Source organism: Homo sapiens, chromosome 6, assembly GCF_000001405.40.
Source record: "Homo sapiens chromosome 6, GRCh38.p14 Primary Assembly".
Lineage (NCBI taxonomy): Eukaryota > Metazoa > Chordata > Mammalia > Primates > Hominidae > Homo > Homo sapiens.
In genome coordinates, this window is record NC_000006.12 from 114,045,637 (window position 1) to 114,070,366 (window position 24,730).

The 24,730-nt window shown below is 39.9% G+C and overlaps 1 protein-coding gene and 1 long non-coding RNA gene across 13 annotated transcripts in view; one reads left to right on the forward strand and one right to left on the reverse strand.

The window, feature by feature from the left end:
* HDAC2-AS2 (HDAC2 and HS3ST5 antisense RNA 2) overlaps positions 1-24,730 on the forward strand; it is a 371,029-nt gene that overhangs the window by 75,936 nt on the left and 270,363 nt on the right. The window lies entirely within an intron of this gene.
* The window catches only part of HS3ST5 (heparan sulfate-glucosamine 3-sulfotransferase 5), a 287,428-nt gene continuing 272,657 nt past the window's right edge, over positions 9,960-24,730 (reverse strand). For all 12 annotated transcript variants that reach the window (NM_001387040.1, NM_001387046.1, NM_001387041.1 and 9 more), the window contains 2 exons: positions 17,103-17,241; positions 9,960-12,554 (listed from right to left, as the gene is read on the reverse strand). In NM_001387040.1, the coding sequence (NP_001373969.1) occupies positions 11,621-12,554; positions 17,103-17,209 (1,041 nt within the window). In that variant the 5' untranslated portion in view covers positions 17,210-17,241 and the 3' untranslated portion in view covers positions 9,960-11,620. The remainder of the gene's footprint in view (positions 12,555-17,102; positions 17,242-24,730) is intronic.

Genomic DNA, 24,730 nt, shown 5'->3' on the forward strand with positions numbered 1-24,730 from the left:
TTTAGGTTCTCTTGGCAGAGAACCCAATCGAAGGGAAGAAAGAGCAGATAAGTTTATCCCTCTAGTAATGCCTTTGTCATTATAATGAAAGAGTGATTCATTCACCCACTCCATTAATGTCTATTAAACATCTATCATAAGCTTCCGAGTTTAACATGGTGTCTGTTACACAGATTTGTCTTCCACTCCAGCCTGACCCTATTAAGGTCAGGGGTAGATTCTGAACATAGGAACTGAAAGAGTGGCTTTATTGATATATCACTATAGTGTAGCTTTGGTACTTTTTCAAAGGGAATATTACATAGGAGAGAAAGAATTACCTGCCCCCATAAACACACACATGCACACACATATGCGCGTGCACACACACACACACACACACACACACCCATTGTCATTGGTCTTTGGTCTTTGGTTATTTGGAGACTGTGGCAATGCCTGACTAGGGAAGCCGCAATGCCTGACTAGGGAAGCCACACTGCCTGAACAGAATTGGCTGTAGTACTGAACAAACATTGAGGCACACAGCAGGAGGGCAGCCATGTTTGACAGGTGATGTGTAGTGCTGACTGGCTTGTATGTCAGCAGAGCTTAGAAGTTCCCAAGGACTCCTGGAAATGCTCTGGGAGTACATTTACAGTGGCTGGGGGCATGAGGCAGCCAAAGAGATTGACAAAGAATTAATTTCACACGATGAATTCTTAAGTTCTTTCTCCAGATATTTCAAAGACATTATTTGAGACAGATATTGGAAAGGTTGGAGTAACTTTTTGAGGATGATCATGTAGTAACCAATAATTTGACCAACTTAACAAACTTCATCCAAAATAATGGTTTGCGTGGCTGGATTTGGCTGGTTCGTCTGTGAGTATAAACATAGTTGATAATGGGTGTCAGTGAGTGTCTGTGTTGGGGTTCTTTTGTCCCTATGATTCTGACCCCTCACCGCGAACACCTTTTGTTTTCAGTAATTGCTTGGATCTTTAGCTCAGAGTTCCTAAGGACGTTTCAGGATCTCAGAGAAAGTTATCAAGACTCTGTTCTCAGAGGTTCAGGCTTGGGTTTGTATGCTTATTAATTTATCACTTTATATTAATGAAGGAGACCTCAAACACAATAGATGCAGGCAATAATACTAAGTAAACACTTTATTCTTAAATTTATCTTTAAATTTAATTGTGCTTTCAGAGAAACCTGATACAATTTCAAGGTGGAATACTTGCAGTGATGGTCAAGATGAAAGGTAACGTGATCATCACAATGGGATGAACCAGTTAAAGAATTGCTGAAAATCACATGCACACACACACAATAGTTGGATGTATAATACTTCCTAATAGCACTTTCAGTATCCTCGGATTAGAAGACATCTGCCTTTTACCGTTGAAACTTCTTATACTATATAGTGACACTTTAGACAAGCTATCCTCTTTTGTCAAAGTATTTGTTTCCAGATTGGTTGATGTGCTTTTGAAATATCAATTTATTGAGTTTTTCTTTTTTTCTCTTATATATTCTTACTTTGTTTGGCTAGACTGTGACACCTTTGGAATATAATTTTTTAAAGGCAGCTGTAAATTTGATGGGTAATTGTTAGCAAAAGAATGTTTGAATTGGTCCAAGGATGAACCATTATTATTAGCTTCTTTCAACAGGCTTACAAATAAAAATATATGTGTTCATATATATTACATGTATATTAAATGGATGTACATCTTAATTTTAATGCTAATTTATACACATATATATATTTTTTAGATGAGGTCTCGCTATGTTGCTCAGGCTTATCTTGAACTCTAGGGTTCAAGCAGTTCCCCCACCTTAGCCTCCCAAGTAGCTGGGATTATAGGCATGTGCCACTGCACTCAGCTAATTCATATTTTTATACAGATTCAGTACATGCTTCTATTCAAGGTTAAGTACAAGGGATTAAAATGTACCCAATAAAACGAGATTAGGAAGGGATTAGAAACACATTTTAATTAGAAAATTGCCACCTCAAATCCATTTAGGAAGTCTGCAGGTATAAATAATAAATAGAACTACTTACGTACTTTTCTTGACAAGTGGCCCTGGGCTGGAATTCTGGAGAGCTGTATTCTGGTCACACGCCTAACTGGTTTTCCTAGTGACTTTTAGTAATTGATGAATTCTTCAGGAGCTAGGAATGTATTAGATGATTAGATGATCAATAAATACCTCTGAATTTCATTAAGTCCAAGAAAAAGCATTTCAGGTCTTTATTTTCCTATAGAATGATTTTCAATGCCATTTAGAGGAAATCTTGGGATCAACTTGGGAAAAGACGGAGGCTCCTGGCTCTGATCTTTGGGGACTTCAGATTTTCTGGATCAAGGTGAGATACTACAAATTTGTAAGAAGAAAAGAAATGTTTTCTCTTTTCAGCATAAAAGCCATAATGTTAAGGATATTAAAAAATATCATGTAATGTGCACTTTGCATAAACTTATCTGAAATTTAGCATGAAAATTGTTTTTTACTCTGAGCTACAGGGAAGGTGTCCCAGAAGAAATGAGGCTTGCTCACTCCATGTTTCCATCACCAGGGGATTGTGTCCTGCAGGGTCACTCTGCCTGCATTCACTAGGCCTGTTCAGTCTTAGGGATTTGCAAAGGTTCTCCTATCCTTCAGGACTTCTGTTTGGATTGTTCGGAAATGTCCTTTGTGATTGATGGCTCTTGCCTCATCACCCATTCATGATGAAGGGGAATAAGCTGATTAAACACGACATTTTGTGAGCCCTCCATTTCCTCTTGCTTCTTGTATTAGTTTTCTATGGCTACTGTAATAAATCAACACAAATTTAGTGGCTTAGAACAACATGAACTTGTTATCTTGCATTTCTGTAGGTTTAGAAATCCAACACAGGTCTCACCAGGCTGAAATCAAGTTGTTAGCAGGGCTACGTTCCCTTCTGGAGGCCCTGGGGGAAAGCTGTCCCCTTGCCTTTTCCAGCTTCTAAAGGCTGCACACATTCCTTGGCTTCTAGCCCCTTCTTTACATCATCAAAGCCAGCATTGTTGCATCTCCCTGAAGGTCCTTGAAGTGTAAACCCATTCTTCAGTTCTTATCATTCCACTAACTGCCCCTTACTGCCTCACTTTTCTACCTTTAAGGACCCTTATGATTACATCAGGACCACCCAGATAATCCTTGATACTCTCCTCATCTCAAGGCCCTTAACTTCATCATATCTGCAAAGTCCCTCTTGCAATGTAAGCTAACATAGTCACATGTTCCCGAGATTAGGATGTAGGTATCTTTGAGGGAGGGCATTATTCTACCTACCACTCTTCTTATTAAGATTATGTATTTCTTTAAAAATTAAGAAACATAAAGTTTATTGCTATATTATAATTTTCATCATGATAAAGTCAAGGTTGAAGTGCAATAGATTATTTGTAAAAATGGTCACAATAATTTCCTGTCTTATTGGGCATGGCAGCTCATGCTGAGGTTGGGGGAAGGATTGCTTGAAGTAAGGAATTCAAGACCAGCCTAGGCAACTAAGAGAGATTCCATCTCTTCAATTTTTTTTTTTTTTTTTTTTCTGAGACAGGATCTTAATCTGTTGCCCAGGCTGGAGTGCAGAGGCATGAGCTTGGCCTTCTGCAACCTCTGCCTCCTAGTCTCAGGTGATCCTCCCACCTCAGCCTCCTGAGTAGCTACAGGTACATGCCACCACACCTGGCTAATTTTTTAAAAATTCTTTTGCCCAGGCTGGTCTTGAACTCCTGAGCTCCTGTGATCTGCCTGCCTCAGCCTCCCACAGTGCTGGGATTACAGGCATGAGCCACCATGCCTGGCCAAAACATTTTTAAAAAAATGATTTCCTTTCCTTTCCTGTATCCACACCCTTATGAAATCCCCTCTCATGTGGACTTTGAGCTTGGCCATATGACATACTTTGGCCAGTGAGACTACTGCAAACATGATGGAAGCGGATACTTAAAAAGTACTTGCACACTGGGACTTGCCTTCTCTTGCTACTCTTAAGCCCTTTCTGACTACCATGTGAAGAGGCCTGGTGCATATACTAAGTGAGAAGATACATGTGACCTAGGCACCTTTGTCATCAAGCCAACAGCTAACACTGGGAGGTAGCACCAATCACTAAGCAGCACAAGCCACCAGACATTTAGATGAGGCCACCTGAGATCATCCAGGCAGCAGCTGACCCGGCAGAAACCACAGGTATGTGAAAGAGGCCAGCAGAGGGAAGACAAGCTGGGCCAGAACAGAAGAATTGTCCAGCTGAACAACAGAATTGTGAACTAAATTAAATTTTGGGGGGATGGTTGGCTGTGTGGCAAAGGTTAATTAATGTGGGAAGGGATAGGTAAACTAGAAACCAAAGTTGAGAATAAGGTTGAATAAACGAAAGTTTAGTTGCAAGGGAGTGGTGACAAAGAAGAGCCCTTAAAGGCAAAATCATAGACAACGTTTTTTGGAGAGATCATTTGCACAAGTACAGTAGAGGCCCCTCCTTCCTCCTCCACCTTCATGCCCTGACTCTGTGGACGTTCAGTGTCACAAGAAATGCTCCAATAATCCCTTTCATGGAATGATATAATGTCATAAGAAGGAGCATAAAAATTCCCTGTTCTGATTTTCCTATTTAATGGGAAGCTCAAAAAGACAAAATGGCTTGCCCATTTCATCCTGAAAGTTTAGCTTATACAGTGATATGCCACATAATGATATTTTTGGGTCTACAATGGACCTCATATATGACAGGTGGTCCCATAAGATTGTAATGGAGCTGAAAAATTCCTATTGCCTTGTGACCTCGTAGCCATCATAATGTTGTAGCACAATGCATTACATTTGTGGTGATGCTGATAGAAACAAACCAACTGTGCTGCCAGGTGTATCAAAGTATAGAACATGCAATTATGTACAGTATATAATACTTGACAATGATAATAAATGACTATGTTGCTGGTTTGTGTATTTACTTTTTATCATTATTTTAGAGTGTTCTCCTTCTACTTATTAAAAAAAAATAACTGGAAAACAGCCTTAGGCAGGTCCTTCAGGAGTATTCCAGAAGAAAGCATTGTTATCATAAGAGATGACAGCTCCATGCCTGTTATTGCCCCTGAAGACCTTCCCGTGGAACAAGATCTGGAGGTGGAAGACAGTGATATTGATGATCCTTATTCTGTGTAGGCCTAGGCTAATGTATATATTTATGTCTTAGTTTTTAACAAAAAAAGCTTAAAAAGTGAAAGAATGAGAAAATTTAGAAGTAGAAAAAAGCTTATAGAATAAGGATATAAAGAAAGAAAATATTTTTGTACAGCTGTACAATGTGTTGTTTGTGTTTTAAGGTGGGTGTTATTACAAAAGAGTCAAAAAGAAAAAATTAAAAATTTTATAAAAAATTACAGTAAGCTAATGTTAATTTATTATTGAAGAAAGAAAAATATTCTTTTATAAGTTTAGTGTAGCCTAAGTGTACAGTGTTTATATATAAAATCTACAGTAGTGTAGAGCAATGTCCTAGGCCTTCACATTTACTCGCCACTTACTCACTGATGCCTACAGCAATTTCCAGTTCTGCAAGTTCTATTCATGATAAGTGCCCTAACTGTACAGGTGTAGCATTTAACAATTTTTTATATATTTGCACTGTTCCTTTTCTATGTTTAGATGTGTTTAGATAGACAGATCTTTATCATTGTGTTACAATTGCCTGCAGAATTCAATATAGTAACATGCTGTACAGGCTTGTAGCCTAGGAGTGATAGGCTATACCATATAGCCTAGGTGTCTAGCAGGCTATACCATCCAGGTTTGTGTAAGTACACTCTTATATTGTTCACACAATTACAAAATTACCTAATGATGCATTTCTTAGAACATATGCCTGTCATTAAGTGATGCATGACTTTATTTGCTTTATTTGTAATGAAATGAATATGTTTCCTGGCTTTTTTTTTTTTTTTTTTTTTGAGAACACTCAACACCTATCTTGCAGGAGAATATTGTGTTTGTTTTTCTTTTCATTCCTATGTCTCCTGTTATAGTCTCAGGATGGGTGAAGTTTTAGTGAGAAGCTCAGTGGCAAGGAGACAATATGACTCTTCCATGGTCAGTATACCCACAGAAACACTTTTTCCTCAATCTCAGGAGAAAAATGAGCCAAATATGGAGGATCCCATCAGCTGCAGCAAAGCTACTGGCCATGAAGGGAAGTGAGAGAAGCAAAGAGAAGAGTGAAGCAGAATGGGAAGGAAAATGATGATTCTATGGGCACCAATCATGTGATTTTTTTTTTTTCTCTTTGAAAGATAACCTTCGGCTTATTAATTTTATCATCTCTTTTCCAATATTGAACCCTCAGCCTCTAAGGATCAGCCGGGTGTAGACTCAGCATGATGGCCTGGCCTGCTATCTAGCAGGGTCCCCTCAAGGCTATGGTGGAAGGACTCGCTCAGGGCCTAGGAAGCTCTGTTGCAGTTTCCATTCTTACATTCCACCTTCTCTTATGACCTACTCTCCAGCTATACTGGATATGCTAGTCTTTTTCACACTTTGTGCTTTTGCTGTATTGTTTCCCTCATCCTAGAGTATGCTTTTCCTGTTTGTCTGCCTGGTGAGATATTATGATCTTCAAATGTGCCTCATGGAAGCCTTCTCTGATTCTTCCAGGCTGAGTTATTTATTTATTTCTCCTACAGTTTCTGAACTGTGACTCACTAGTTCTACTTGGTATGGCAACATGATCATCTGGCGTTGCTAGAGAGTCTCACCTTTAAAGAGTCATATTAAGTTTATTTACAGGACCTAGTGTTGGATTACCTGATCACGTAGCAATTACAACTTCTTTTATAATTTACGCCCAAACCTTTAGGTGAGTCTTCTTGAGGCTTTACCAAGGAAACAGGCAGTTTTAGAGTTGGCCTTAAGGATGTTCTCTGGTGTCATCAAAGAAATGGAAATGCAAAGCAGAGACATGTGCATTTAGATATGTGTAAGGTAAGCTACCTTTTTGAAATGGTGCTACCCATCTATTAGGAGACACTCACCTTCTTGACAGACTGTTTTTGAGAGGGGGTGACACATATCTTTAGAAACAATAAAGCCTTTTACCAACACCTCCCGCAAACCTGGTAGACTGATGTGGTTCATAAATTCATCAATAGATCTAGCCTGATCAAGTACCAGCCATGGTACTTGATATGACTGAAAGGGTACTGCTTTTCAACTGAACTATCTTTAAATAACAGACACTTGTTTTTGAAATACCAGTCAGGCACTTTCTATGGGAGCTGCGTATTGCTATCAGTTCAGTTCTGCCTTTCAACTCCTCAATCTGTTTCTAATCATTATGAAATAGCACTCTTATTCCTAAAAGGTGCAATAAAATGTAACTGAAAAGAATTTTTTGAAAGCTCAAATGTAAAGAAATTGTTTTTATAAGATGTATAGTAAGGCATCGTTAATTAGAACCTTACCAAATGATCATATTTTGGACTAAATTTCACTCTTACACGAGCTATAAAAGAAAGGTGTGCTGTAAAAATTGACAGATGCTAGGGGGCTTGAATAACCTACTTAAGAGAACAGACTATTTTGAAATACTTGAATAATACCAGTTTGGAAAAAAAATCCAATATGCCAATTAAGAGGCTTTGATTTGGCAAAGCAGGCACAATTGGATATTTTTCTTTTCTTTCTTTTTTTTTTTTTGAGATGGAGTCTCGCTCTGTCACCCAGGCTGGAGTGCAGTGGCGCAATCTCGGCTCACTGCAACCTCCACCTCCCGAGTTCAAGCGATTCTCCTGCCTCAGCCTGCTGAGTAGCTGGGATTACAGGCACGTGCCACCACACCCAGCTAATTTCTGTATTTTTAGTAGAGACAGGATTTCCCCATGTTAGTCAAGCTGGTCTCGAACTCCTGAACTCGTGATCTGCCTACTCGGCCTCCCGGTTTGGTGCTTTGTCTACTTGGCAATAATTGCAATGAATTTGTTTGAAAATATTTTATATTTTCACCTCGTTATCCCAAATTGCTAGGATTTTTCTGTATTTAGTAATTTTGAGGGGGAATGTTTTTCTTTCTTTCCTAGACTGTAGACTATTTTTAGTGGAAAATGGCTGCTGAGTGTGTGGAAAGAGTATAAAAGATTTCAGTGGGAAGATTCTACAATCATTTGAGATTCTCCATTGCTGGAAAATTCTCAAATTAGGCTTATGAAGGCAATTTGATTTAGCAAACAGCTCTCTGGACCAAGCAAATCTTCTCAGCAGGGATGGAATTTGAACTGCACTTGTCCCTGGTTCTCACCTTCCCTGAGAAGCAGTGCATCTGCAGTGTCCCAGGTGATGCCCCCCACAGGCCTTGAAGCTTGTCTTCCAGAAGAGCCTTCATTTCAGGGGCAGCATTCCAGGAAGCACGCCCATGAAACACTCATGAGGAGGAACTGGGCTGCCAATTATGACTTGTCACTGCTCCATCAACATAAAAGGTACCACATCTAAGATCAGATGGGATTATAAACCTCATAAGAGTTTACAAGCCTTTGCTTGATCATATATTAACTCAGAACCAAAATGTCTTGGGCTTCTGTTATTCTACATTGCAATTATTAAGAAAAGTTTAGTGCCTTAATTAATTAAGGGTTTATATGCAGTGGTTTCAGGTGGGTAGGAGATAGACTTGGAATTTCAGGATGTGTATCTATGGGTTTATTTTACTATTCTAAAATCTAAAATCTCTCTGATCCTTAGTCTCTCTCCATCCCTTGGGCTATTTGTTTAATTGTAACTGGAATTCCTTGGCTTCCAGAAATGGTGTAATTTTAGCTTTATGGTCCAGCAGAAACCCCGCCATTGCTTAAACAATTTTTCTCTTTGCAGCTAGAACTGTTCCACAAAGCTGTATGGTTCCACTGTGCCTCTTGAAAACATGCAAGGTGTTTATGACATAAAAGAAGTAACTTATTAAAGAGAGCCCTCGTGGAGCTATTGTAATGAGGTGAAGATTTCTCTAGAGTTCTGTTGTCTGTCTGATAACAGGAAACATTTTTCTAAACAAGTAGGTTTAAAATCTCCACGAGTGTTATGCTATTAAATCATAGCATTTTTATTTCTCCCTACCTAGCTCAATCAGCAGTGGCTGTGACTGTTTTTTTCAGTGAAATAGAACCTGCCACCCAAAAAATTCTCCCAACATAGGCCCTTGCTTTAGATCTCCGTGGGGAGGCTTAAAGATTTAAAACAATTCTCAAATTTACTTAGGAAGTAGAACAACTGAAATCACAGTGCTTCCCCCCTCCTGCCCCTGAATTTGAAGAAATACTGGCTTATTGAGATAAAAGTTGGCATAAGTCAAATAGAATCTTAGAATAAAGTCTGATATACACTATTGGTAGCAGTAGCAAAGTCTAAGAAAAATTGGTAACATAAAAGATGATTACGGAGAAATTTCAATTTATTAACTTTTTTTTATTCCTCTGTGAATCTGGGAAAAGATTACCATTTTTTTATTTTACTGATTGAATACCTGGTCTGAGTTTTTGAAACATCCGTGTTCCAATGGAGCATAATTTGACAGTTACTGGCACAAAATCATATTGGCTGTATAGCGCTCTAGGAATACTTCTATGAAATTAATGATAATACAGTGATTGTGTCCTTGAACATTGTATTCAAATAGTTTATACTGATGGTTAGCAGAGAGTTGAGGCCCAGAGAAATCTGACTGCAGGATCCTTATATTGACTTCATTCATGGCTTAGGGGAGAAGTGGCTGACATTTAGACCTGAGGCTCTCATTCTAGTGTCATCCCACAGTAAGGGAGGAGCTGGCCTGCCAGCATGTATTGGTGTCATGCCTGTTTCAAGCTGAGAGTACAGCATCACTGCTCATTCAGACAATAGAGATGATTACCAAGGCGCTGGCTTGAGAAGCAATATATACCGACACCGGAGGGGAAAGGGCTATTTATTTAGAAAAGTTCACCATCAAATCACTAGACAGGATAAACAACTCATGGAGAAAATCAACACTTATTACAATCAAAGGGGAATCCATTGTAATTTTCTGATTTCCCTAGGCACTCTCACTGTGATGTTGAACAAAACTCTCTCAAACATCTCCCACTGGATTAGCAACTGTGATTGTGAGAAAAAAAAAATCCATCTTTTTGTTGTCGTTGTTAATACCCCTTTCCACATTTTACTGAATATATTTAAGCATAATACAGTGTATCTGATGTTAGCGAGGCACCAATTTAGCATTAATTTCTCTGGATGGAAATATGAGCCATATGTTTATGTTAGTAATGGCAACACTAGGCAGCTGAATCCTTTCAGAGCAAATTGATATATTTTCAACTAACAGGGAGAGTTGTGAGATCTTGTTTTCATTTTTGAAGCATCAGCAGCTTTCAGTACAGAGTTTTCTAATCTTATTTAATTTCTCTACTGGTCTGACTCTGATTAGAGGTTCAAATAAAATGGTGATTCTTCTATGCCTTGATTCTGTTAAAATATTCCTTGTCTCTCTTCCTGAGCAGCAGCAACTGCGAGTAAATTAATTGTTACAAAGTTGTAGCAGAGCAGCACTAGGGTTCTTTGAGGTGGCTATTATACTTGATTTCCAGATGGTTGAGGTTTTTCTTTTTTAATATACTCAACCTCACTTCATAAATACATTTTCACTGGGGTACAGAAATCCAGCAGGGAAGCACATCTTTCCAAGTGCTCTCATATGCACGTAAACAGCTTCCATTTTGGAAGCCAGCAGGGGGCACGTAAAACAAAATGAGTAAAAAAAAAAAAAATTGCACATAGAGTAATTTTAATCCATTCCATTTTTAAATACCACAATAAATTTAATTTTCACAATAAATTAAATAGCCATATTCAGTTTACAAAATAGAATTACTTAGTGTGAAACCAGTATTTACAACAATATACATTATGTACATGACATTTCTCTCTGTTGACATACAACATGGAAGTAAAAGGACTTGACTTTCCAATGTGTGATTGACATGCTACAAGTGACACCATGGTCCATACGAGAAAACAATAGTGCAAAATCACCACAAGAACTTTGGAACAATGTCAATTTTATGAGATAAGACGTTCTTTTAAATAATAAGAAAATAGCATTTTCTGTTTTCATGGCACCAATTCAGCATCTGAATTAAAGAGCCAGCTTTCCCTTAGGAAAAAAAAAATGCATCACTGGATCCTCTACTTCCTGAAGCTTCGCAGCCATTGGTACATTTTCACACATTTATCTTTTGGCTTAAATCTATGAAAATGGCGGGTGACAAATTCTGAATCAAAGGAAGACTAACTCTTTGAGAATAGCTGAAGTCACTTTCCCCCAATACCACCACCTCTTCTCTTTTGTAAATAGCTTAAAAGATGCGACTATGCAGACAGCAATTTTTTTTTTTTCGTAAATTTTCAGTAGAAAAAGAACTGATCTTATATTTGGTCACACACTGCGTATGTACAAATATACATGGAAAAATGACTTGGATAGCTCTGCCTAGGAAAAGTGCATATTTTAATCTACAGGAGACATTGTGTGTCTCCAGGCACAACACATAGTGTTGTATGACATATTATTTTAGGGCCAGTTCAATGTCCTCCCAGTGATCTGGTAAAATTTTTGATTAAAAGGATGAAAGAATTTGCGCAATTTAGTAATGACAGAGGGGTCCACCTCTGGATGAATGCGCCCCTTGCTGCCCGCCAGGCACTTATTAAAGATAATATTAAACCGCAAGCAGTAAAACCCTCTGGTAGCATTGAAGTATAAATTGTATTGACTTATCCTTGGAGGCAGATTTAGGAACTTCTCCACGAGCTGAAGTTCTGGCAGAGGTTCCGTGATGAGGCGATCTCCATCGACGACATGAAATTGCTCAATTGGAAAGTATTTCAACCACCTTTCCAGATGTTTGGTGTAGATGCTGGTTCTTACTGCTTTGTATTTTGTGTTCACTTCGCATGTATTAGGGTCTATGGCCAGCTTCTCAAACTTGTAATAAGTTTTGTTCTTCCTCTCCTTCCCCTCTAGCACCTGAGTATAATCAGAAATAGCTCTTGTGGTTGGCTCCCTGACAATGATCAACAACTTGATGGATGAGTTCATTTTGTAAATCCTTTCTGGAACCTCCTCTGTGATAAAATATGCTGGGCTCTTTTCAATTGTGATTTGCTGAGGGTAGGAAAAAGGCATCTTTTTCCTATACCACTCAATGCCCTTACCATAATTCTCATCATTATCAAAAAAGTGGATTTCTTGAGAGGCTTTGACTACTGCCGGATGTAGGTTCAGCATTTCAAGCAGGGCCCTTGTGCCTCCTTTCCTCACCCCAATGATAATGGCCTTGGGGAGCTGCTGGACCAGGTCATGGAGGCGAACCTGCTCCTTGGAAGCGTTGCCCTTCCGGAACTCGTGCAGCAGGCCACGCTTAAACTGCAGGGCGCGAAGTGGGAATTCAGCCTGAGTGCGGGCTCCACCCAGTCGACCTTCAATGGGGCAAATGGGTTGTAGCCTGCAAGCAAGACAGAGACACTTTAAGCTCATTGCAACTAACTTTTCATTTTTCTGGTTCCCCAGTCAGACCAAGACTTTAAATGCATAAATAAAGCCACTGGTTCCCAGCCTGCTGCAATCCATAATGAACATATGTTTGGGAAATTTTATTTTAAGCAACCATGTATTAAATGGAGCACACATAATTGATGAATTTTTTTATTAGTGCTCCTTAAAATTTTTTATTCTCCAAGCACTTAATTGACTACGGCGTGTACTTCTGTTTGCAGTACAGGATAGACAAGTGGCACCAGCCATACTAATAGCTTTTTAACAGCTCACCAGTTAAAATCATTAAGAAAAAGTGAAAGGCAGGAGATTATAATCTTCAGCTGGGAGGTGGAAGGGTAGCAGGGAGGCCATGTGTTTCACATTTTGTGTGGTATTATTTTCTTGCAGCTCGGCAGCACTCAGATGGCTCTTGAAAATCTTTGAGATATAATCTGAAAGGAGGTCCCAGTTTCTGCCCCGGGCTGTTTGCATCATCAACCTGCAAAATTCCAATCTTGGAACTTGCTGAGATTTTCATTCTGAGACTCTCTGCCCTGGGCCTTGAGGATAGCCAGAAGAATACTATATTTCTTCTGCCTCTCTTTCTCTTTCTATCTAAAGAGGTCAGGATTATATATCCACTTTGCTGAATATAGAATCAAACCCAATTGCCATCAGCAAGTGCTGTATATCACCTACCACACCTGGGACCAGGCATCAACAAGACCTTGACAGGGCCAGAAGCCTCAAGCCCTCATTGCCAAGCCCATTAAAATCAGGAACTCAATCTCATTAAGGAAGGAGTGCAATGGATATAGCCAGACAGGAGGATTTCCACTTCAGTATTATCCTGAATAGTGAACAACCATCTCTGCTTTTCTCAGGGAGAAAGATGTGGTAACAGTCACAATGATAGTAGACGATGGTGACTGTTTAATTTGTCATGGCTAACATATATGGTTAGCAAATTGAGTTTCCTTTTAGGTATAGTCTGAATTGAACTGAAGTTCATTATAATTCCCCTAAGTTGATCTGTGAGGGCATTTTAGCCTTCTTGGTAAAATTAAATAATATCAGTCAAAAAGGCTGTTAAACCAATTCTTACACTTGAAAGCTTCCAGTTATTCTAATAATTTGGAATCTGTGTCTCCCCCTCTGTGGCAATGAGGCTGTTGCTTGCTTTTCCCAAGAGACTGTATTGCATCTTTCTTGTTTTCTGAGATGAGAAACAACCTCAAGGTCATGCCCAGTGATATGGTTTGGCTCTGTGCCCCCACCCAAATCTCATCCCGAATTGTAATCCCCACATGTCGGAGGAGGGGCTTGGTGGGAGGTGACTGGATTATGGGGGTGTATTTACCCCTTGTTTTCATGATAGTGAGTTCTCATGAGATTTGATGGTTTAAAACTGTGTGGCACCGCCCCCTGCAAGCTCCCTCTCTCTCCTGCCACCAAGTAAGACGTGCCTTGCTTCTTCTTTGCCTTCTGCCATGATTGTAAGTTTTCTGAGGCTTCCCCAGCCATGCAGAACTGTGTGTCAATTAAACCTTTTTTCTTTATAAATTACTCAGTCTCAGGTATGTCTTTATAGCACTGTGAAAACGGACTAATACACTCAGCCTGTTCTGCAGAATTGAGGAGCATGGTCTTGGTCTTTGTTCTGTTTAAACAGCTATCTATCATAATGCTTAAGGAAAAATATCAATGTATACTACTTTTCACGATGTTTCTTTTTTATGATTTTTAAAACAACTCATGCTCATTGTGGAAAGTGTGAAAATATAGACAACTTTTTTTTCTTTTTTTTTTGAGACGGAGTCTTGGTCTGTTGCCTAGGCTGCAGTGCAGTGGCACGATCTTGGCTCACTGCAATCTCTGTCTCCTGGGTTCAAGAGATTCTCCTGCCTCAGCCTCCCGAGTAGCTGGGATTACAGGCGTGCGCCACCATACCCAGCTAATTTTTGTATTTTTAGTAGAGACAAGGTTTCACCATGTTGGCCTGGCTGGTCTTGAACTCCTGATCTCGTGATTCGCCTGCCTCAGCCTCCCAAAGTGCTGGGATTACAGGCGTGAGCTACTGTGCCTGGCCTAGACAGCTTTTAAAAAACAGGATTTAACCCGGTTAATAGTTTAGAGAAACATGAATTTTGTTTTTATAAATTTGTTAATGAGATTAATGTACTAGGGCTTTAAATGGAGGATGTAAAATTATCAATAGATACATAGGCAAAGATGCTTTTAATTGTGACACTGATTGGAATAATACAAGTTCATCTTTCAGTTCTTCTTGGGTTCTGGTTGAGAATTAAGCTCTAATTCCATAAGGCATCCATTGATGGATTTCTGTCCTAAGCACCTAGAATGATGCTAGTACCATCCTTGGAAGAATTGAGGAAACAGTCACTCAAATTCTTTTTTGTAGGATTTAATTCTTTCATAGTACCCTGGCTGAGAGTGGCTGATATAGACAGTCTCTGCTTTGTTTGAGGTCAAATGGAATTTCCCCACTTGTAGAAAGGGTCATTTTCCTTCTTTACTTCCTTCCTCTTTCTATCTTCTACCCTGGGAGATCACATCCTGCAGAATAGTCGCTTTTTGGACTCCCTAACTCAAGATAGAATGTGAAAATATGAGAAAATATCATATTCTTTCCCACTTCTGAAAGCATGGATTCTGAGTATGGGTCCCAGACTGAAAAATCATACAGGTTTAGGATTGGAAGGGATGGTAGAAGTAACCTCTGTCTCCCTCCCAGAAAGCAGGGTCTTCAGTTACTGGAGAGTGGGCCTAAATAAGCCTGTTACCTTCAGACATAATCTCAAAGTCTGAAGTGAGAGGCTTTTAGAAAGCCCACCAAACAATTCAATTCCAAATAAAAGCTATCCCCTTAGAGACTAGAGACAGAGTTAAAAAAATGAAAAGAATCATCAACTAAATAATAATGCATTAGTGATCATTAGATCAATTACTAAGTAAAAGGTAAATGATTGGAAGCTAATTAAAGGTCAGTTGGGGAGGGCTGGATATAAGAGTTCCATTACAGAGGTAGGCCAATGGCACCACCTCAAGGCTTCTCAATAACCATCAAGTGCTACTTTAGGAAACTACTGGAAGTCGGTGAGAAGCTCTGATTACACTTTCAGGGTAGGTAACAACTAGTGAGTGAGACAATTACTCAGGAATTTTGAATTGAGAAGCATCAAAGGAGTTCACTTTACCAGTCAAAATGACACCAACTGAAGGAAAACAAGGACCACTGCTATGTTATTTCTAAATAATCTAAGTGATAAGGTCTACAGATTAGCTTAAATTTTGGAAGGAAAAGAAAACTGAAAGGAAAAGATTTTCATTTTTAATTTTGTATGTGTTTTCACTGACTGTGAGAACTGAACTCATGGAGAACACACTTCAGTCTTTCCAGTGCAAGAATTAATTTTAAAGGGCCAGCCAGGCACAGTGGTTCACACCTGTAATCCCAGCACTTTGGGAGGCCAAGGCAGGTGGATCTCCTAAGGTCAGGAGTTCGAAACCAGCCTGGCCAACACAGTGAAACCCTGTCTCTACTAACAATACAAAATTAGCTGGGTGTGTGGCACATGCCTGCAATCACAGCTACTTGGGAGGCTGAGGCAGGAGAATAGTTTGAACATGGGAGGAGGAGGTTGCAGTGAGCCGAGATTACGCCATTGCACTCTAGCTTGGGCAATGAGCGAAACTCCATCTCAAAAAAAAAATTTTTTTTTAAGGGCAAAAAGGGAAGCTTCACATTTCAGAAATTAACTTCTCTGTCTTTGCCCATTAGACTAGACATAGAACACACCAGAAACATTTACTGTGAAGCCAGCTGATGTTGCTGGGACTTCTGCAAGTCCAATACCTCTCAACTGTACACCTATTTAGAGCTAAACCCTAGCACTGTAATTTTCTCTCCATGGATTTCCCATTGCTTTCTGGGCAATTATTCTGAGCAACAGCCTCCTTGTCTGGTGCGTTCAGCCCCTGAAAACCAGAGCTAATTAACATAGTTAAAACTCCCCACGCCTGCAGCCATCTTTCCAGAGCAATGGATTGCAAACTCGATGAGCTCCTTTAGAGGCTCATACATAATTTTAATGCTCCTGATAGCACATTAAGTGTCCACTCATAAATTTCAAAAGAAAGATACATAGATACATCATCACTGTTTTGCTACAGCTAGAGGTCAACACCAGATGCACACGGACCAACTGAGCTCTATTAAATGACATTTTTACTGTACACAGCTTTATCCCTTTCCTGAAAACAAGTGTCAATGCACACGGAATACAAATGGATCTTGACAAAACATCTTGGTTTGAGGAACTTGGATCTCTCTCTTTTAAAGGCTCAGTAAATCAAAATCAATACTGCAGAAAAGCATGTTTCCTGGGAATTTCGAAGGAGAAAAACAAGTGGATAGACTTAAAATTATGTCCTAAGGAAGTTTAAATCAAGCCTTAATGTCACAGGGGTATAAGCATGTGTTTTAAGCACCCACCTATCCAAGCTCCCAACTCTGGCGACTAGATACAGGAGACTCCCAACGGCAAGGCTTCCCAGCACCAGGAGCTTCTGTCTCAGCCACGCCTGCTGTTTGAATAGCATGGCCCTCCATCAACCTTCAGGACTGCTGCAGCCTGCGATAGAAGGACTCATCAGCAGCCATCTCTTAGAGGCTCTGTTGGTTGTCACAGAGCTAAGCAGAGGTGGAAGACAGGTGATAAGTGACACTGCACAAAGAGCAGATCCCATACCAACTCTCACAAGTGTCATGATGTAACAGGTACTTAGCAAAACTTACCTTTCTTTTCCTGGACCATGTTATAAGATCAAATACTAACTCAATGGGGAAGGATACTAACTAGTACTAACTAGACAGAACCTGTGAGATAATTGTCAAAGTAAATTAAAATGCATGTAACATATAGTGTGTTTGTGTGTGTGTGTGTATATATAAAATGATTCAAAGAATATGGATAGAATGAGCAACTTGGCCGGGTACGGTGGCTCAAGCCTGTAATCCCATTACTTTGGGAGGCCAAGGCGGGTGGATCACCTGAGGTCAGGAGTTCAAGACCACCCTGGCCAAGATGGTGAAACCTCGTCTCTACTAAAAATGCAAAAATTAGCTGGGCACAGTGGTGGGCCCCTGTAATCCCAGCTGCTAGGGAGGCTGAGTCAGGAGAATCACTTGAACCCAAGAGGTGGAGGTTGCAGTGAGCTGCGATCATGCCACTCCACTCTGGCCTGGGTGACAGAGAAGACCTGTCTCAGAAAAAAAAAAAAAAAAAGAGCAACTTGAGGCTTAACAGCAGGGCAACCATAAACTGAAGGCTCTGCTTCAGAATAACAAGGTGAATTTGAAATCCCAGTTCATAAGTTATCATTTTGAGCATAGCAATGACATATTTTAATTACATATGTTTTTGTTTTGTTTTAGTTGTGAGTAGAAGAAGGGGGTGAAATCGAAGTGATACTTACTGAAGTTATCAGTGGTGACTATCAGGATGTCACATGTTTGAGGACAATGGCCTTGGGGAACCTGATGTTTCCCTCCATGTCCTCTGCTCAGTCCTGGGTTCTGAAACATGTTCGGACTAGATGCTTTTGCTATGTGACCTCCCCTGGCTGTCAATGAATTTAGACAGGTTTGGTGATATTGGTCTCACTCTTAGATCATGAAAGAAGCTTACCTGGAAGCTCTGTTCTCATATACCTGAAATAAGGCCAGCTGAGGAGCGTAGGGCTTTACTAGTGCTGTTATTAAATTTTGGGGAAAAATGCAAGTTCCCAATTCAGCCTTTCTTATTAAAAATAAATCCAATCCCTCTTTCAAGATAAGATTGTTTGCCTCTTATTGAAACTCAAAATAGTAACCCAAGAAGGAAGCTATATAGATAGCAATGAGTCATGGTTAGAAATTGTTTTGCTGCAATGATATCTCTGTATTGCTATGTGAAGTTTTTCTTTGTGCAAAAGGGATATACTAGGATTGAGTGATTGATCTATTCATTCATTATTCAAGAAATCACTGAATTCCCAAAGCATTTTCAACTATTATACTAGGTTTATCAGAGATTTCAAAACAGATCCCCAAAGAGTTTTATTCCTTAGAAAACTGATAATGTGATTAGGGAATCATGAAATAACCAGAGAACATTACCCAATTATGATAATGTATGAATAAGTGTTGGGAAAAGAAAATTAAGGAAAAGGTCAGAGAATGTGGGCATGGTAAAATTTTTTTGTGTGTGTGGAATGTACTATGTGAATTGCTGAGGAGACGGTAGGAGGGCATCCTAAGAGGGAGAGATAAGACCAGCAGTCATCCAACACACAGTTGACAAATACTTATGGAACATGTCTTATGTGCTAGATTCTGTATTGGGTACTATGGAGAATAGTGGCCAATTAAATAGACATGTTCTTGCCCTGTGGGAGTCCACAGTCTAGTGGAGAAGACAGGCATTAAGCCTACATACAGGATTAATGCATACTTACAAATTGTATTCAATATGACAAAGGAAAGTTACAGGATCTAGTGAGAAAGAGTAATAGGAGGAACCTACTTCAGTCCTTCCTGAAGAAGTAACACTTGGGGTGACACCTGGAGGAGGAGGAGCAAGGAGGCATGAGCGAGCAGAGGAACCAGCTCACATGAGGGACTGAGGAGGGAAAAGGCTCGGCTTGTTTAAGAAGTGAAGGCAGGCAGGTGTGGTTGGACAAAGGTAGAGGGAAAGAGAGAAAGGATTAAGAGCATAAGCAAAGAGAGAGCAAAAACAGGTAGGCTGGATGAGCCTGTGGTTTTAACATAGCAGGGCTTGCCTTGTGTGTAAATAAAATGGGGAAGAGAAAGAGAGTGAGGTTTCTTGAGGCTTACTGTGTAGCAAGGACATTGTCCAGGTGGTATTTCAGGAAATTCTCAAAAACCCTATAAAGTAGATGGAGTTATTTCCATTTCATAGGTCAAGTGAAGCTCACAATTTTCTCCAACTTGCCTGTGATCACACAACTGACAGATAATGTGAAGACAAAGACAGTTACCTATGTAATGTGATTCAGAGCTTCACTGAAAGAACCAATCTCCTGTCTACAGGTTGATGTCTGAAGTCCTCAGTTAGACCTGCGTGCTTTGGGCTCTGATCCTTGTTGAAATGCAAATACTGCAGCAAGTTGCAGAACAGGGTGGCAGAAAGAAAACTGTGTTCAAGTCCCCCAATTAAATACTCCCCTTAGTAGCTCTATGGTTTTGAGGTTGGATTCTCTGGGGTTTCCTTTTCTTATCTACAATATGAGGACCACTTCTGGCTTCCCCATTCCATAGTGCTGTAGTAAGAATGAAATGAGTTTTCTACAGGTGATATTACTATATAAAGGTTTATTAGCTTGCCAGACTAATGCAAAGGATTATGTGTCATTTGTTTCTTAGCATGACTGAATTTAGTGTGCATTCACAGATGAGTAGTGTGAGGGAATAAAGCTTGTCTGTGGCTGAGCTGCAAAGGGAATGGATGGGAAAAATAAAGGAAAAATGTTCTTGCCCCATGGCCTTTGCAAGGGTCTCCAGCCTCATACAGGGGACCAATTCAGAGGAAGGCTAGGGAAGTTATCGACCTCCTCTGCTATTTAAACATAGTGCCCACACCCTCCTGCTTAAAACTGTACTGCACAATGCTTCGTCCACTTTCACCAGCTCCTTGGTCCACCTGTCTGTTTTTAGCTCCAGTCCACCCATTCTTTAAGGTCTGGGCTATATCACAGTTCCTCTGGGAAGGCTTCTCCAGCTTCCAGTCCAGGATCCAATCACCCACCTCCACTAACTCTTGTTCTTTCAGTCAAAACCACAGTTAGACATTTCATTGTGCATAAGCATTTGATTTGTGTTAGCTGCTTCTTTGGTGTGTATTATCATCATCTCCTAGCAATGGGGCAATGGGCTAAACCGACTGACTGACTCAGAAGCACTAGAAAGCTTACAGAAAGGTACTAAGCCCAGAATCTGCTTTGCTGCACAGGCCAGTGATTCTCTATGGCAAGTTTGCAGAGCCTTTAAAACACACACACTTGCTACCACCCTCAGATATTCTGATTCAATGGGTATGCATTAATCTTGTATTTATAAAACTAGAACAGGCTGGGCATGGTGGCTCACGCCTGTAATCTCAGCAGTTTGGGAGTCCAAGGCAGATGGATCACCAGCTTGGACAACATGGTGAAACCCCATCTCTACAAAAATACAAAAATTAGCCGGGCATGATGGCAGGTGCCTGTAATCCCAGCTACTCTGGAGGCTGAGGTGGGAGAATCACTTGAACCCGGGAGGCGGAGGTTGTAGTGAACCAAGATTGTGCCACTGCACTCCAGCCTGGGTGACAGAGCAAGGCTCCGTCTCAAAAACAAAAACAAAAATAAAAAAAACAACAAAAAAATTAGAATAAAGTTATAAAGCTTATCGTTTTCTACCACCTTTTGTATCTTCAGTCACCAAGGTCAGTACAAATGATTTCTCCTTAATTTCTTCTTGCTTTGTGCTGTGCAGGCATTTTGTGCCTCCCTTGTTCCTTAACATTTGGGTATGCTCCCCTTGTTCATTTTCTATGGCCCTGTATAGTACTATTAATCTTCCTAATATAAGTTATTTTGTCCCTCATCTATTTTTGGTTGTTCACTGGATCAAGTTCAATCACTTCCTCTTGAAAGTCTATGCCCTTCCTTCTGAGGTCCCAGTGTGGACAGTCAGCTTCTCACCCTCTTAAGTCACTCACTCCAGCCTCTGAGCCTGTCAGGTCAGCCCCTGCACTGTTCTCCATATGCCTTTTCTCTTATCTCTGTGCAATCATCAGCTTCCTTGCTGGCCTGGGATATCTTTCCTATGTCTCCTCCTTCGAGACTTCCAGATCCTACTGGTGTCTTCCTAGGAAGTGATCTTGATCTCGGTGGATGTGGAGTTTAGGGGAAAAATCCCAATATGCATTCCACTGGTGGGTAGGAATGGGTCATGTCCATTGTATAAATAATTACAGGACCAAAGGATAATAGCTGGGCTTGGGAATAAAACTTGCAAGGCTTTTGCATGTAGGGGTGAGTGAAGTTATAAAATGACCTCATGGTTAAACTGTTTAAGTTTAGCAGACAGGAAAAAGAAGAAAAACATGACAGAATGTGAAGCCTGCTGAAGAAGTAGTGCAAGATTTAGGAAACTATGACGAAAAAACTGTCAGCATCCAATTGCAATGCACAGGTCATCTGGTATATACTAGGCTATTAAACCTAACTCTCGCTTTATGATAAACCCAGTTATTACTATAGAGGTTTTGCTCCCTGGGATTAGATACTACTGCCAGCCTAGCTTCTCTGTGCCTGAGATGCCTTAAATGTGCCTACTGAGGTTTTTCTCTCTTCAGGAGACCTGATTTCTCCAGCATTTTGTTTGCAAGGCTGGCCTGGCTCCTTACACTGCCCCGTCTGGTTATGGCAGGCCCGGTACGCATTCCAAGGTACCTTCCTATCTACTGTGACACTGAGAAAAACTAATATTTTTATTGAAGATCTCAACTAACATGAGTGAACCACTCATGGTGAAGTGGAAAGACAACTGGATTGGGAGTCAAAAGACCTTGGGTCACATTTTGGTTTGGTTTTGTAATGGAAATTTTCTGAGTTTTGTTTTTCTCATCCATAAAATTATGATAATAATGTCTATCTCACAGGGTTCTTATGATGTGAGCACTGAGTAAAACAGTAGGATAGAACTTTGGGAACATTTGTGCATTGTGCAAAAATGAAACATAATTAATAGCTTCGGGAGGTAGATTAATTATTTTACAGAGAAAAAGAATTAAAAAATGCAGTTTTCATAAACAGTATACGGAATTATGAAAAATAGTATTTTAAAGTATAAATAACTTTTAATGGAAATTCTTATTAAGAATTAGAATGCTAATGCTATTTTTTTGTTCAAAGCAAGATGGCGCATGCATACACACACAGTCAATATTTCTCTTCTTGAGCTGAAATCTCTTGGAATTTTTGAGAAATGAGGATGCCAAGCCAGAAGTTTCTAATGAGGCTCTCTAGCAGACAGAAAGTGAAATCTCATTCTGTTTTGTAACCAGTCTCAGACTATGTGCTAAGATACAATATCATAGCAGCTCTGAATAAAACTTCCCCAGGGAAAACCAAAGATATCCGGTTAATTTAACTTTGAAAATGCCTCTTTGGTTTTCTATAACATTATAAAGCATTTGAATCTGCCAGGATGGTGTCTTAAAAGCTGGAGATTGTTGCTTTTGGTCTAGGAATATAAGACAAAGAGAAGGCACACCATTTGATCCTTACGGACAATGCTGTTAAATCGGGTAGAGTGTTAACTGCTTCTCCAACCCCCAAATCCCATCCCTTTAGCTATGCCAGCTTTAACAGATATTTTAATAATCTTTCATCAGAGCAGTTATACTGGTAATGGGAAATTTATATAAAACTAAAGTTTTTTTTTAGAAAGTTTATTATTTCTTTTTATATAAAAAATGCTTGAAGACCTACAGTGACATTTAAGCTCCCCCCATCCACAGTTTTAATCTCTCAGTGTCTTTCATTTTGCCTGCCAATAACAGCACAATTAGTTTCTTCAGACTCTTAAAGCTTTAACAGACACGGTATCTTGGCTGAACAAAGCAGAGTATCTAAATAACAGAGTATGTGGCCAGAAACGACAAATTGTAGAGACATCTGGCTGTTTCTCTATAGCAGCACTAAGCAAAGAAAGAAATGAGTCCCCAGATGAAACAAAGAAATAAGGAGATTCAAAAATAATAATAATAAAGATGTGTTCAAGTGCTGCTCAAAGGCTTGTAGACATGGTTACCACAAGCCCTTGGTACCAGTAAAAACAATAAGAGGAACAATAGCAGCAAAATTCATTAAAAACGACTGAACTTATATAGCAGAATTATTCCAAGGAAATCATAACCCTCTTTTGAGTATTAGCTCATTTATCCTGGGCAACAGCCTTATGAGGTGGACAGGAACTACATTTATTGAACACTAGGCTCTGTGTTCATATGTTCATATGTTCATATGATACAACAAACCTCTGTAATATTATCTTTTTTTTTTTAATGGAAACTGAGCAGACATAAGTAGATTTTTTACCCAAGGGCTGTGGTTGGTAAATAAATGCAGAAGGAGGATTTAAATTCAGAATTATCTGACCCCAAAGAACATGACCCCATGATTGCAGCACCAGTCATAGAGCTTTGGATACTTACATGGGAGAATTTTTTTTTTTTTTTTTTTTTGAGACGGAGTCTCGCTCTGTCGCCAGGCTGGATTGCAGTGGCACGATCTTGGCTCGCTGCAACCTCTGCCTTCCGGGTTCAAGCAATTCTCCTGCCTCAGCCTCTCGAGTAGCTGGACTACAGGCACACACCGCCATGCCCAGTTAATTTTTTTTTTGTATTTTAGTAGAGATGGTGTTTCACCATGTTGCCCAGGCTGGTCTCAAACTCCTGAGTTCAGGCAATCCACCAGCCTTGGCCTCCCAAAGTTCTAGGATTACAGGCGTGAGTCACCACACCCGGCCCATGGGAGACTTTTTAAAAAATAATTTCAATTGTTTTGGGGATACAGATGGTTATATGTTATCTTGTTATATGGATAAGTCCTCTAGTGGTGGTTTACACTTACATGGGAGAGTTTTTAAAAAATAATTTCAATAGTTTTGGGGGTACAGGTGGTTATATGTTATCTTGTTATATGGATAAATCCTCTAGTGGAGATTTCTGAGATTTTAGTGCACTTGGTACGCAAGCAGTGTACACTGTACCCAATATGCAGTCTTTTATCCCTCATCCCCTCCCAACCTTACCCCGACCCAGTCCCCAAAGTCCATTCTATCACTCTCATGCCTTTGTGCCCTCACAGCTTAGCTTCTGGGAGATTCTTAATAAATATTCGTTCATTGATTGAGAGCAGACAAAAACCACTTAACTCCACCCAAATTACCTGCCACTGAACCTTGAGTTAGAGGATGGGGAGATGAAAAAAAAAAAAAAAGAGGAGAAATGTTTCCATAAAAGGGCAGGTAAAAGGGACCATTTAGGTGGTTTGAACCTGATGAAAGCAGGG